The 13,603-nt window shown below is 56.6% G+C and overlaps 1 long non-coding RNA gene across 5 annotated transcripts, besides 4 other annotated features; it reads right to left on the reverse strand.

The window, feature by feature from the left end:
• Positions 1–799: 799 nt before the first annotated feature.
• On the reverse strand, positions 800–11,863 carry LOC105372716 (uncharacterized). Of its 5 annotated transcripts, none has more exons than XR_001754705.2 (4): positions 11,345–11,863; positions 9,484–9,706; positions 4,528–4,658; positions 800–1,411 (listed from the first exon to the last, which is right to left on the reverse strand). It is a non-coding gene; the product is annotated as an uncharacterized LOC105372716 (long non-coding RNA). The 5 variants fall into 5 exon arrangements; XR_936984.3 differs by having other exon boundaries at positions 11,161–11,863; XR_936986.3 differs by having other exon boundaries at positions 4,470–4,658; positions 11,161–11,863.
• Positions 10,680–11,374: an enhancer, noted in NCBI's record as "H3K4me1 hESC enhancer chr20:61424450-61425144 (GRCh37/hg19 assembly coordinates)". NCBI's record gives its function as "activates a minimal SCP1, AML or CMV promoter by ChIP-STARR-seq in naive H9 embryonic stem cells {active_cell/tissue: H9 hESC(naive)}" and the evidence as "EXISTENCE:reporter gene assay evidence [ECO:0000049][PMID:30033119]".
• Positions 11,611–11,680: an enhancer, noted in NCBI's record as "active region_18214". NCBI's record gives its function as "activates an Ori minimal core promoter by ATAC-STARR-seq in GM12878 lymphoblastoid cells {active_cell/tissue: GM12878}" and the evidence as "EXISTENCE:reporter gene assay evidence [ECO:0000049][PMID:35858748]".
• Positions 11,771–12,360: a silencer, noted in NCBI's record as "silent region_13119". NCBI's record gives its function as "represses an Ori minimal core promoter by ATAC-STARR-seq in GM12878 lymphoblastoid cells {active_cell/tissue: GM12878}" and the evidence as "EXISTENCE:reporter gene assay evidence [ECO:0000049][PMID:35858748]".
• Positions 12,652–13,198: an enhancer, noted in NCBI's record as "H3K27ac-H3K4me1 hESC enhancer chr20:61426422-61426968 (GRCh37/hg19 assembly coordinates)". NCBI's record gives its function as "activates a minimal SCP1, AML or CMV promoter by ChIP-STARR-seq in naive H9 embryonic stem cells {active_cell/tissue: H9 hESC(naive)}" and the evidence as "EXISTENCE:reporter gene assay evidence [ECO:0000049][PMID:30033119]".

A 13,603-nucleotide genomic window follows, 5' to 3' on the forward strand; every position in this document is an offset into this window, starting at 1 on the left:
GGGTATTTGGACCCGAGAAGATTCTGTATCCAGGGCCCTTGCACACTCCCGCTCCCACACTGTGGGGCGTACTTTATTTTCAATAAATCCCTGCTTTCGTTGCTTCATTCTTTCCTTGCTTTGCTGTGCATTTTGTCCAATTCTTTGTTTAAATGCCAAGAACCTGGACAACTTGCAGTCCAGACCCTCCACCGGTAACACCTTCTCCCTGCCCAGCACCGGCGCCGAGGTCTCTTCATCTCACTGCAGCACAGAGCTCTTTCCCCATGAGACTCAGCACCGCCTCCTGCCGAGAGAGGCAGCTTAGTGTCTGTGGGAAGCAGAATGCCAGCATCCCAATCCCTTCATGTGCTACCATGACGTGTGGCGGGGGAAGGAGACTTGGCAGCTGTGGTTAAGGTGAAGGTGGGGGACAATCCTGGATTCCCCAGTGAGCCCAGCGTATGAACCCTTAAAAGAGAGCGCATTGGCCAGCTTCTCCCTGGAGGCCGAGCCATAAGGCAGGAGGCGGAGGCAGAGAGAGTCGAGGTAAGGACATGACCTGGTTTTGCTCTGAAGATGGAGGATGGAGCCGTGAGCCAGAGAACGGAGCAGCCTCCAGAAGCTGGGAGCAGCCTTTGGCCAACAGCCAGCAAGGATGTGGGACCCAGGTCCTGCAACTGTAGGGCCTGGATTCTGACAACAGCTTGTCAGAGCAGGAAGCCAGTTCTTCCTGGAGCCTCCCAGCAAGAACCCTGCTGGCTGAAACCTCAATTTCAGCCTCATGAGACCTTGAACAGAAAAACCAGAAGAACCCGCGAGAACCTCTGACCTCCAGAGCATGAGATGAAAAATGGACGTTGGTTTACGCTGCTACATTTGTTATAATTTGTCCCAGCAGCAGTGGGAAACACACAGTATCCCCCTTGCCTGCTCTGCTGATAGAAAGGTACATTGTTTTCAACCTTCTGCTATGAAGAAAGCTTTGCATTAACTCTCCTTGCTCATATGCACATGGAGTGGAGGACAAATCTGCTGTCAAGCCCTGAATTGGGTTTTTGAGACACTGTCCGTCCAAACACCCACAGTGTGCCCCTGTGCAGAGGCTATGCGTACACAAGGCCCCACCATCCACAGGACGACAGAGGCTGGCTTGGCCAGCCCAAGACCATCCGGCCCCTCAGGAGCTGCCTGACTCCAGGAGCTCGTAGGCCATGCCCCGGCTCCCCCTGGGCAGGCTGCCTCCTGGGTCTGAGTGGGGAACAGGAAGGCCTCAGCCTCTCAGGTCAACAGAAAGTTTGTGCTCAGATGGGCTGAATGTTCCGGGTCCATTTCCTCCTCAAGCCCAGAAGGGTTTGCTTTGCAGGAACCTGTTCCAAGTGATTTCGAAGTACTCAAAGGCTCTTTGGTGGATGTGTCAGGATCCCAATTCCTGAAATAAGAAAGTTGTGTCAAAAATCACAAAAGACGCTGGGCGCGGTGGCTCACATTTGTAATCCCAGCACTTTGGGAGACCGAGGTGGGCAGATCACTTGAGTTTAGGAGTTCAAGACCAGCCTGGCCAGTATGGTGAAACCCTGTCTCTATTAAAAATACAACAATTAGCTCGGTGTGGTGGCAGGTGTCTGTAATCCCAGCTACTTGGGAGGCTGAGGCAGGAGAATCACTTGAACCCAGGAGGTGGAGGTTGCAGTGAGCCGAGATCATCGCGCCCCTGCACTCCAGCCTGGGCGACAGAGTGAGACTGCATCTCAAAAATAAATAAAATCAAAAGGAACTGGCCTGGCCCAACATCCTGGCCGCTGCGTCCTCCTCGCTGCAAAGTCAGATTCCTCGCTCCCGCTGTGGGGTTTCCTGGACCCCTGCCCACAGTCTGCTAAGTGCCTAACCTGGCCACTATTGGAGCCCCCGATCCCACAGAGGTGGCTGTTCAGAGAGAAGCGGTGGGCCCAGTGTTCCCCAGGCCACACTCCACAAGTAGGTGCAGGAAGAAGAGAGGTGACACTTGGGGCTGCTGGGGCTCAGCCCCTCCAGGGCCCTCAAGAGGGGTGTATAAGCCTCCCACCCAGGGGTGACGAGCTGGGTGCTCCCCACCAACACCCGCTGGCATCAGCAGCAGCTGATCCTAGGGCATCACCTGCCCGAAAGCCAAGGAAGCCCCTTGCAGAGGGCAGCGTATCTGGCAGTGGCCACTCGGGTGGGGCCGCCTTCCTCAAGCTCCCAACCCAGCAAGGACTCCCTTGCCTCAGGCTCTCCCCTGCCTCTCTCTCAGCCGCGTGAGCACGGCTCTGGGCACCGCACCTGCACCCAGCAGAACTGTGCTAACCGGGCCAGATCTCCAGGGGCCAACACAGCCTGGCCTCTAGGACGGGCCACGCTGCGAGGGAGGGAGGCAAGTGTGGGGAGGCCGGATTCCACCTGTTTGGTTTTTGATTAGGGAATGGCAGAAACCCAGGCCTCCCGGGGCAGGGATTCAGCTCTCCTAACGGAGGCAGCCTTGGTGGGGGATACTTTTCAGCAGGGACTCTTTTATCCCAGAGTGTTTTTGCTGTGTGCGCGATGACTGGCTCAGTTTTTGTAATAATCGTTTCCATCAGCATAGAGACAGCTGTTTATATTCTTCAACTTTGTATTATGAAAAACGTCAGACAGAAAAGTCGAGAGACTAGTATCGCATGCACCTGTGTGCACAGCATCCAGATTCAACAGTTACGAAGGGAAAATTCCACATTTTATTTTAAATTTACTAAAGACTGAAACACACCAAGTACCGCAGGAAGGATAACCTGGGTGGAGGAGGGATGGGGCTGGAGAGTCGGGGCACAAGGGTGAGGGGAATGGGGTGGGTGGGACAGAGGTGGGGGATGGAGGGTGGGGTAGCATGGGGTGGAGTGGGGGATGGAAGGTGGGATGGGGCTGGGTGGGACCGGGTGGGGAGATGGAGGGTGGGGTGAGGCAGAGGTGGGGGAATTGATGGGCGGGTGGAGGTGGGTGAGGGTAGGGTGGGATGGGTGAGACATGGGAGGGATGGAGCATGGGGTGAGGCAGAGGTGAGGGGATGAAGGGCGGGGTGGGCCAGGGGCAGCCCCCAGTGCCCACAGCTGGAGCAGGCGAGGGGCAGGAGGGAGCGGCTGCCTGCCCCTGCGCTGGGTGGGCCCTGGGGCGCCCCCTGGCCTGCTGCCAGGTCTCCTGAAGGAGGGGTTTGTTCCCGCCTCCCGAGCCCACAGTCTGGTCTGTGTGTGCCTGTGTCTGTTGACAACTCCATGAGTGAACTGTGATACGTCAAGGCTTGGGGGAAGTGTGGGAAATGCTTGTGATTTTCTTTCTCTGTAGAAGTGGAGCAGAGAGAAAGCAGCTCCCACAGCGTGAGCGCCTGATACAGAGGAGACCCGGGGCTTGGAGGCCTTAGGCATTCACTCCAAAGACCTGAGAATTAAGGGAACGCGGCGGGGCCTCTTGCCCAGACCTGGAAGAACAGCAAGTGCTGCGAGGGCCTCTGCACCCCCTGAGGACCCCTACGCCCCCCGAGGACCCCTGTGCCCTGTGAGGGCCCCTGCACCCCTGGGCCTGGGTGGAGACCCACACACAACCCCACTATTCCAGGGGAAGAGAAAGGGGCCCTGTGGGGCTTGTCAACCATCACAGACCCAGAGACTCTGGGCAGAAGCTTCTGCCTGTCACGCTCAGCCTGCGACGGCCCCACCAGGAGAGCGCAGCCGTGAGTCCCAGAGGAAGCGGCTTAAAAGGCCCCTTTCCACCAGCCGCCAAGCCCCTCCAGGCTTTGCTGAGGCCCTGAGGTAGCCAAGCAAAAACCAGCCTCACTTCCCAGGAGCTCAATCACCAGAAACTTCAGGGAAACAAAAACCCACCGGAAGACGTTTTCCCTAATTACCCAGACAAGTCAGACAAAGGCCATGTAGAGCCTTTCCCGGAGTTTCCCAGCAAGCACCGCAGCATCTGGGTTCTCACGTGGCCGTCAAGCCTGTGCACCTCCACACGGAGCTCGGGACCCACCCCCAGGGCTCCTGGAGTCAGCTCAGCCTCCGCCAGCAGGCAGGCCCCAGTGCCCACAGGCATTTCTGGGCTTGCAGGGCACAGAGCCTGATGCTTTGCTCCAGCTCCCAGCGAATAGGAGAGGAGCCCACGTGGCTGCAGCGTGGGCAGAGGCACAAGCCCCCCACCCTGCTGGGAGCCCAGGTGGCCCAGGAGTGCTCCTAGCCTGGTCAGCTGCCCACGCCTCTGGCTTGCACTGTCTGAGGCCCTGAGAGGGAAGCCTAGCCTCCAGCTGCTTAGCCCCAAGAGGAAGGTAGGGCTCACAGGCTGGATGGGGGGTCAGACGCAGCAAGGACAAGAGGCCACTTGACTGTAGCCAGCACCTGCCTGTGTCCCAAGGCTGCAGTGTGTCCAGGAGGGCCCAACAATACCCATCTGTCTTGCCTTGGCCGCCGCCACAGCCAGCCTGACCACCCAGACCTGAGAGATTTGCTCACCAGGACACTCAACACAGCAGGCCGCAGAGCTGCCCAAGAGCCTTAAATCTGCTCCCACCTTTTCATTCTTGATCTCGGTGTAGACGTGCTCTGGAAGATGATCCATTTGGGGCATCGACACTCCTTCCTCTCGCCACTGTTTTTCTTAGTTACTGCATTATTTTCAGATGGCCGGTGGATACTTCATACCTGTAAGCAATGCACTGGAGCTGTGCTTCTTGGCTGGTGACTTCTGACTACTCCCACGGAGGGAAAGCCTGGGTCCCCTCCCACCCGCATTCCCACCCTCATCTTTTCCTTATGTCCCCTTCACGTTGTTAAGATCTTGGACATTTGCCTTCGTTCAATCATACATTTGAGACCTCCTTTTTCGTCTATAGGATGATTCTAACTAGGTTATATGGTTTGGCTGTGTCCCCACCCAAATCTCATCTTGAATTGTATCTCCCATAATCCTCACGTGTCATGGGAGGGACCCAGGGGGAGGTCACTGAATCACGGGAGCGGTTACCCAGGTTGCTGTCCTTGTGACAGTGAGTGAGCTCTCACAAGATCTGATGGTTTTATAAGGGGTTGTCCCCCTTTTGCTGGGCACTTCTCCTTCCTGCCACCGCGTGAAGAAGGACGTGTTTGCTTCCCCTTCTGCCATGATTGTAAGTTTCCTGAGGCCTCTTCAGCCCTGTGGAACTGTGAGTCACTTAAACCTCTTTCCTTTATAAATCACCCAGTCTCAGTTATATCTTTATCAGCAGTGTGAGAACAGACTAATACACCAGGCCATCCTGATAAACAGCACTTAAGTATTATGACGATTTAAATATCATCTTTTGAGAAGCCAAGTGCTACGTTTGTGTCCAAGGGCAGGAAATACAATGCCATTCTAAACCCTTCCGTGTAAACCAGACTCTGCGGAGCACTGGCTCTCTGTGCCCTGTTTGTTTCCACTCTCAGCTTTCACCTTTTCTCCATGTCCTTGCGTCCCCGTGGCCTCCTCCTTCCCAGCTGCTGTGGCTCAGGTGCTTCAGGTGCACTGAGCACCCCAGGTCTTGGCAGACACGTTGTCCTCACATGAGAAGATGTGGGCTGCAATTGAGGTTCTTGGTTCCTTGTGAACTTTGTCTTCAAGCATCCAGCGTCATTGATCCAAGCAGCTGTCACTCTGGCTCTGAGTCCTATGGGCACTCAGTTCCTCTCCAGAAGCTCTCAGGCCTTCCCTCCTTCCCTCCAGATTCTGAAATGTTGCCAGAAGGGGAAGCAACACCCTTTGCCTCAAGCCCGCTTGGTACTCGGGAGCCTGGCTCACATCTCTCTGTTCCCTTCCATGTTGTCCTCATGGAGCTGCAGTTGACACCCACTGGGTTGGCCCTTGAAACCCTAGCATCTCCCTCCTAACAGTCAACAGAAAACGCATCCAAAGCCCAGGTGCTGCAGAGCCCAGGTTAGGGGACATGCTGGGGCAGAGGGACTTACTTCAGAAGGACTTTTCTTGCCTATGAAAAGAATTGCTCCTTTTACAAAGAGGACATTGGCTGTTTTCTGTGTTGACCCAAAGAATAATTTCCCTTTGTTGCACAAAAAAAAAAAAGCAGAGCTGGACTTTAGAAGCTGAATGAATGGGGAAAGTTTCCATCTTTTTAAAAAATAAATTCTGCCCCTTGTGAACCCACAGGAACCCGACTGGAGAGCTGAAACCTCTGGGAAGCCAGGCCAGCCTCCGTGGCATTTTTCAAGTGTAATGTCTCCATCCTGGGTGTTTTTAAAGTCGTGATTGTCCCAGGGTTTTGAGGGATCCGCGGAGATGAGAATAGCGGTGTGAAATGATGCGTGACACTCACCACAGACGGCCATGTCAGAGCCTTGTCTGGAACATGCAAGCAGAGGCTGGCTTCATGGACCACAGATGGCCGTGTCAGAGCCTTATCTGGAACATGCAAGCAGAGGCTGGCTCCATGGGCAGAGGCGCTGCTGGCGCCAGGCTCCCCGTCAGCCTGGGCAGGAAGCTCCACGGCCAACATCAGTGAGACTCCAGCCTCTTGGGATCAAGGGCCCAGGCCGGCTAGGAACCTGAGAAGCCTTGTCCTTGCTGCCGGACGTCATCGCCTCTGAGAGCTGGTCTCTTGCTCTAGGCAGGGTCCCTGGGGTGACCCCCCAGCCTGCACCCCAACTGTCTACCACCCTCAGCTATCTGACACCTCTCCTGAAGAAGATGATTCCTGCCATGCCTGCAGAAAACTCCCAGGGGGCCACGGGAAGGGGAGCAAGATGGACAAGACTGGCCCTTCCCAGGCAGGAGAAAGGACAGCTGCCCCTCAAACCCACCATTCAGGGAAGGTGAGGCCAGGTGATGGGCCCTGGGGTAGCGCGGGCTCAGCACATGCCTGGTTCCGCCTGGTTCCTCCACCTGATGTAGGAAACACATTACCCAGTGCTCCTGCGCCTCAGTTTCCCCATCTGCAATGGAGGTAGCAGTGGCTCTACCGGGAGGTTACTATGATGCATAAGTGATGTTGCGCCGTGAAGAGCTGGCACAGCACGGGCAGAGAGTGACCAGGAACACGCTCCCACATCCCGACAGCTTGGTCCTTGTTGTCTGGGCTCCGGCTGAACAGGTCAGGACGAAGGTGCGGCCCCTTGGCTCTCGAAGTCACCATTTGCCGGCTGGACAAAGGTCCTTCCAGCTCAGCCTGTTTTTTTGTTTGTTTGTTTGTTTTAGACAAGGTCTCACTCATGTTGCCTAGGCTGGAGTGCAGCGGTACAATCACAGCTCACTGCAGCCTCGACTTCCCAGGGTCAAGCCATCCTCCCTTCTCAGCTTCCTGAGTAGCTGTGACTACAAGTGTGTGCCACCACACTCAGGAAATTTTTTTTTTTTTTTTTTGGTAGAGATGGAGGGCTCCCTAGGTTGTCCAGGCTGACATCAAACTGCTGGACTCAAGCAGTCTTCCCACCTCGGGCTTCCAGAGTGCTGGGATTACTGTCCCTGGCTGAGCTTGGTTCTTGGTGACAATGGGGCGGTGACTGAGAACTCAAAGGACCACACACCCCATGGCAGGCAGGAAACATGAGGCTCCTCTCCCCCAGCAGATTGGAAAAAGACAATGAGAAGCAGCTCAGCCCGCACCCCCCAGCCCATGTGAGCCAACTTAAAAACAGCTCGAGTGGCAATTGCGTGGCCTCTCCCACTGTGGTGCTCGCACCCACCAGCCCTGGAGAAGTGCTGGGCCCCGCCCCAAAGCGTCTGATGCCGCAGAGCTGTGTGTTGGGTGTGCTGCCCATGTGCACGTGTACACGAGTGTGTGTGTGTATATATGTGTCATACACATGCATGTGTGTGCACCTGGGTGTGCATGTGTGTGTCCATGTACGTGTGTTGTGTACATGTGTGCACGTGTGTGTGCATGTGTCGTACCTGTGTTGTACATGTGTTGTACCATGGCAGGCAGTACAGGTGTGTGTGTATATGTATACACACATGTGCACATGTGGGAAGAATACCTATTTCTGACAAGTCTCCGGGTGAGGCTGAGTCTGCCGTTGCAGGGCCCGCATTCTGAGCACCCTGGGTCTATCAGAACTCAAGCCCTCCTCCTCCTCCTACTGTCCCATCCCACAGAGGATAAGAGGTGTGCATGTGGACGGGGGTTCCAGGACAGCATGGCTTCTCACAGCAGAAACACGCAGCAGAATCTGTCCATCAAGGCAGGCGTGGTGAAATCAGTTAGGCACCCTTACCTAGGAATCCTCTGCGCCCACAAAAGCAGTACCTGGAGAGCCAGGTCCTGGGTCTCCCCTGGGCTATCATGGCCTGCCTCTCTCCCTCCCTCTACAGACCCTAAGGAGCACCCGGCAGGGAGAGCACCGCCCACCCTGCCCCTCAGTCATGCAGCTCACATCGGGCAGAGGTGACGCTGTGGACCTGGGTGGGCCCCACGTTTCAAGTCAAATCAAGCTGCTGACCAGGAGGTAATTCAGGCAAAAGGAGCAGAATCATCAGATAAAAGGTAGGATGCCCAGTTATATTTGAATTTCAGATAATTCAAATTTGATTCAAATTTGATAATTAAAATGTGAATGATTTTATAGTATAAGTATGTCCCGAATATATACATGGATTATATTACATTATGCTATGTTATATCATATTATTTTATTAGGAAGGTGGTGACCACTGCTAACCAGAAGGTGCCTGTCTCCCAGCCTCATGGGAACACGTGGTTCTTGGTCATGAGAGCTGGGTACAGTGGAAGGGATGTTTAGAAGGCTTTGGTCAAACATATATATATATATATATATATATATATATATATATATATTTGGGGCATACTTACACTACAAAATTATTCAATGTTTTTCTGAAATTCAAATTTACCTGGGCATCCTGTATTTTTATGTTAAATCTGGCAACCCCTGAAAAGAGCCAAAACCCCCTCAGGCGGTCGAGAGTGCGGCAGCCAAGCCAGCACGCTGCAGCTCCCTCCTTCTCGGGGCCGTGGCCTGGCCCTGCAGGGGACATCGTGGGAACAATAATTGTCCAAGTCTAGTGCTGGGGGCATCATGGGCGCTGCCCCAGAGCCACAACCAGCCCGCCTTTCAGTCAGCATGGTGAGTCTTCCGATGCCCCATGTGAAGAATTGAACTTCTTTTCTGAAAGCTGAGAGTGGCCCCCTCGTGGTGGGCAGGTTCCCAGGGAACGGAAACGCCTTCCCTTGGTTCCCTCCAGCAGAGTTCAGACAGGAGCCAAGATCTGGGTCCAAACAGTGGGTGGAAAACGCCCCCTAGAGGTGTGATGTGTTGGCTGCAAGCCTGGTGGCTGGGCCTGGGGACACCCTCACCAGGTTGCCTTCAATGGGGGGTTCCCCTGAAGCCCAACTTTTAATTTTCTGCAACCACAGGCTACTTTGGTCAGAAGGGAAATAATTAGATCAGAACCTTAATAGCGTTAATTTCCCCCAAATAGGAAGAAAGCAAAGGGAGGGGACATGAGAGCTGTTAATTAGGTGACGACCTCTCCTACCTGCTGTGTTGGAAAAGCGGCTCTATGGAAGACATAGCATCCAGGGCAGGAAGAGGCAGGCTCGGTGGTGTTGGGTTGGAAAGCCCCCGCCTCGTCCGGCGGCCATGCAGTCCCCAGCACCTCTGAGTCCACTCAGCCCAGGGAAGAGGACAACAGAGCTGTGCTCAGTGTCCAGCTGTCTGGATGAGGCCCAGGGAGATGGCCTGTGGTGGAGCAGGAGGACCTGGGGAAACAAAACCCACAGTGGCTGCCCAGCTGCAAAGGCTGCGTTCTTTCTACAGTGTCTGGGGTCTCAGGTATGAGTGGCAGAGGGAGCAGTCCCATCAGCCATGTCAGCCTCGTTGCAATGGAATTCCACTTCTGTCCCAGACACTCAGCCAGACAGGAGGAAACTGTGACCACAGGCATGTGGACACGCAAGGGTATGTTTGAGCAAAGCCTTCTAAACATCCCTTCCATTGCACCCGACTCTCATGACCAAGAACCAGGTGTCCCCATGGGGCTGGGAGATGGGCACCCTCTGGTTAGCAGTGGTCACCCCCTTCCAGAGATGACATCAGCTCCCCAGGCAAGAAACTCCACTTAGAACCCAGAGCCGATCTGAGGAATGATTCATGCAGCTAGACTTATACAAGACTGATCTATAAGCTGGAAGGCTTGTATGTTCACTGACCATGGGAAAGCCTTTCCAGGGCCTGAGCGTTTCCCACTTGGGATCCAAGTCCTCTGTTCCTGGGATCAAGATATTTGGGAAGCCACATCCATCTTTTGAAGGAAATTTGAGCAACAGGGATCAAAGAGTGAGGATCATTCATTCCATCCCCGTAAGGGAGGGAATGGGTCAGTAGGTTGTGTAGCCAGTCCACAAATGGTCACTGTCCACCTGCTGTGTGTTGGCCTTGCCTGAGAGGTGGGGGACAGTGGTGCCACGCCATTCCCAGCCCTGGCCCCCTGGAGCCAGCTGATAGCCTGGCAGGGGAGGCACACGTTGAACAAATTATCATCCGTGATTCACAATGACAAGTGTGCAAAGTGTATCCCACAAAGCACTTATTGAGTGAGAAACACAGGTGTGTGGCCACAGAGACCAAATGGGACCCTCACAGCTGGGGCGGTGACCTTGGAGCTGAGAGTGAAGGCTGCGCAGGAGAGAGACAGGCAAAGGGGTGGGGGCAGGCATTTGCACCCCAGGGGGCTGCAGGGTGATTTGCAAGGGGAGCCCAGGTGAGGGTCCACAGGGACTAGAGCAGGCCAAGAAGGGAGGTTGGTCAGGGGTCGGCTGGAGCCAGGCTTCTGAGGGTTGATTCCCGGCTCTGCCCTCAACCCAGGCAGTTCCCCACTCTACTCATCTCTGACTCCTCCCCTCAAAGCAGGCGTGACAGCGGCACCTGCCTCAGAAAGGAGGGGGCGTGTGGGGAAAGCAGGTATTTCATGACGACCGCCCAGCATAGAGCCCTGGAGACAGTACCCCTGCCCAGGTTCCCACTGGAGCAGGCAGACAGCCCCGGCTGGGATGAGCCAAGCGTGTGTCTCCATGTGGACCCGGCCCAATGTGGGGCTCAGCACCCTCGGGTCTCCTGGTCCGGGCTCCTGTCTCACGCTTTTATGCCATCTTTTCTCAATAGGCACAGGGGACCCCCAAGGGAGGAGGCGCTCCAGACTGAAGGAGGAGAGTACCTGGCAGGGACGGGTGGAGAGGCGCAGGGACCCCAAGGTGTCCAGGGAACAGTAAGGAGATGAGTAACGGTGAGGGTCCCGTCTCCCGAGCGTATCTGTGCTAAGGGGCTGTGGGCTGGGCTTCATTCCTCTTTAGAGCAAGGCTGAGGCCAGGGCCACCTAGGGGCCAGGGTAGAAGACGTACCACGTGACAGCAGTGGCCTAGACCCCTCACGAAGTCTCACTGGGCCATATCTCCACCAGGGCATGGCAGGGACCGGTATCACCAGCGGCCCCCTGCACAGATGGGGAAGCTGAGGCCCAGGTCCCAGTCAGCCAAGCCAGCTCTTGGACCACTCAGCGGTCCCAGCAGGTGAGGCTGACCAGAGCCTGCCTGGGCTAAGAGGCTGCGTTCACCAGTGCCAGCTGTGGTTGGTCACCAGGATGCCTGAGCGCGCTGGCACAGGCCCAGGGCACCCTGCAGAGCAACCAACCCTCACCGAGATCCCCAGGGAAGGGGCTGTTGTTGGCCCATTGTACGGAGGAGGGCACTGAACCCTCAAGAGGCTCAGGGCCTCGCCCGGTCACACAGCTGGAAGGCGCCAGAGCCAGGAAAGGGACCCGGAAGCCCGACCCGGAGCCTACACCCGCAGAGGCGAAAACATCTGCGTAGCGGCTCCCTGGCCAGTGGGCCGTGGTGGGCGTGGCCGAGAGGGAATGGGGCGGAGAGAAGCCCGTGAGGGCAGGGCGGAGGCGGAGGCGGAGGCAGAGGCGGAGCGGGCGGAGCCGGAGGCCGCGGCGGCCTTGATTGGAGGCCGCCTTAAGCTCGTCATGGATGCGTTTTGACCTGGCGGCCCCGCCCCTGACCCGCCCCCGAGCCGCCCTCCCGAGCGCTTCCCCGCCCGGCCCCAGCCTAGGCCCCGCCCTGATCTCGCCCCCTCTTCACCGTCCGGCCCCGGCCCCGCCCCGCGGTGGGGCCTCCGCAGCGACCCGCGGTTAACGCTTCCCCAGAGCTTGGGCTGCGCGGCGGCCGGGAGTCGGAGGCAGGCGGTCAAGGCCGGCAGGGCCGGACCCCCTACTTGCCCTTTCTCCCAGCAGGCGCTGGACTCTGGGGGCGGGCGTGAGCCCCTCCGTCCCGCACCCAGACCCGGGCAGCGAGCCCTATGCCTGCAGTAATTGTGGGGTTTCTGGTTTTGTTTTTTCCTTAACATCTTTATTGAGACCGTTAAGTTCACCCGCTTAAAGCGCACGATTCGGTGGGGTTTTGTTGCGAGCAACCGTGGCCACTATCTAATTCCAGAGCATTTCACCTCCTTAAAATGAAGCTGGGCCCGGCCGGGCGCGGTGGCTCAAGCCTGTAATCCCAGCACTTTGAGAGGCCGAGGAGGAAGGATCACCTGAGGTCAAGAGTTCGAGACCAGCCTGGCCAACATAGTGAAACCGCGTCTCTACTAAAAATACAAAAATTAGCCGGCCGTGGTGAGCGCCTGTAGTCCCAGCTACCCGGGAGTCTGAGGCAGTAGAATCGCTTGAACCCAAGAGGCAGAGGTTGCAGTGAGGCGAGATCGTGCCATTGCACCCCAGCCCGGGCAACAGAGCGAGACTCTGCCTCAAAAACAAACAAAAAAGAAGCCGGTCCCCATCCGCAGTGACTCGCGTTTCCCTCCCCCTCCCCCGTCCCCGGCAACCGTGCATCTACTTTCTATTCCTATGGAGTTGCCAGTTCTGGCTCTTCCTGTGAATGGATTCCCATGCTGTGTATTTTCGTGTCTGAATTCTCTGACTTTCGTCTCAGCCCGCACCCACGCTGCCGCAGTCCGCGCTCGCTGCTTTTAGGCTGAACGCGGCTGCGCCGTGCGGGTGCCCGCGCTCCGGGCGCCCCTCGCAGGTTCAGCCCCGGGTTGGGGGCGGCGCTTGCCTCGCGGCTGCGGGTCCCAGCCTGAACCTGTGTCTTGTTCCACTGCCGCGGGCGCCCGCCACGGAGCTGCTGCTTCCTAGGGAGACGGTTCCATCGTTGAAGGAACGGCCAGACTGTCTTTCGCAGCAGCGGCCCATCTGACCGCACAGCACGACCGCACGAGGGTCCCGAGCCCTGACCCTCGCAGCACTCGTCACCCCGGCCGCGTGGTTGTGGCGGTCTCGGCGGGGCAGGGGGTCCCCACGCGGGCTGATTCTAGTTTCGCGTGACCGATGGTGCTCATTAGCCATATCTGTACATCTTTTTTTTTTTTTCGAGTCGGAGTTTCGCTCTTGTTGCCCAGGCTGGATTGCAATGGCGCGATCTCGGCTCACTGCCTCCCGGGTTCAAGCGATTCTCCTGCCTCAGCCTCCCGAGTAACTGGGATTACAGGCGCCCGCCACTACGCCCGGCTACTTTTTTTGTATTTTTAGTAGAGACGGGGTTATACGATGTTGGCCAGGCTTGTCTCGAACTCCTGACCTCAGGTGATCCGCCCGCCTCGGC

This window comes from Homo sapiens, chromosome 20 (assembly GCF_000001405.40).
Source record: "Homo sapiens chromosome 20, GRCh38.p14 Primary Assembly".
In the NCBI taxonomy this organism is placed as follows: domain Eukaryota; kingdom Metazoa; phylum Chordata; class Mammalia; order Primates; family Hominidae; genus Homo; species Homo sapiens.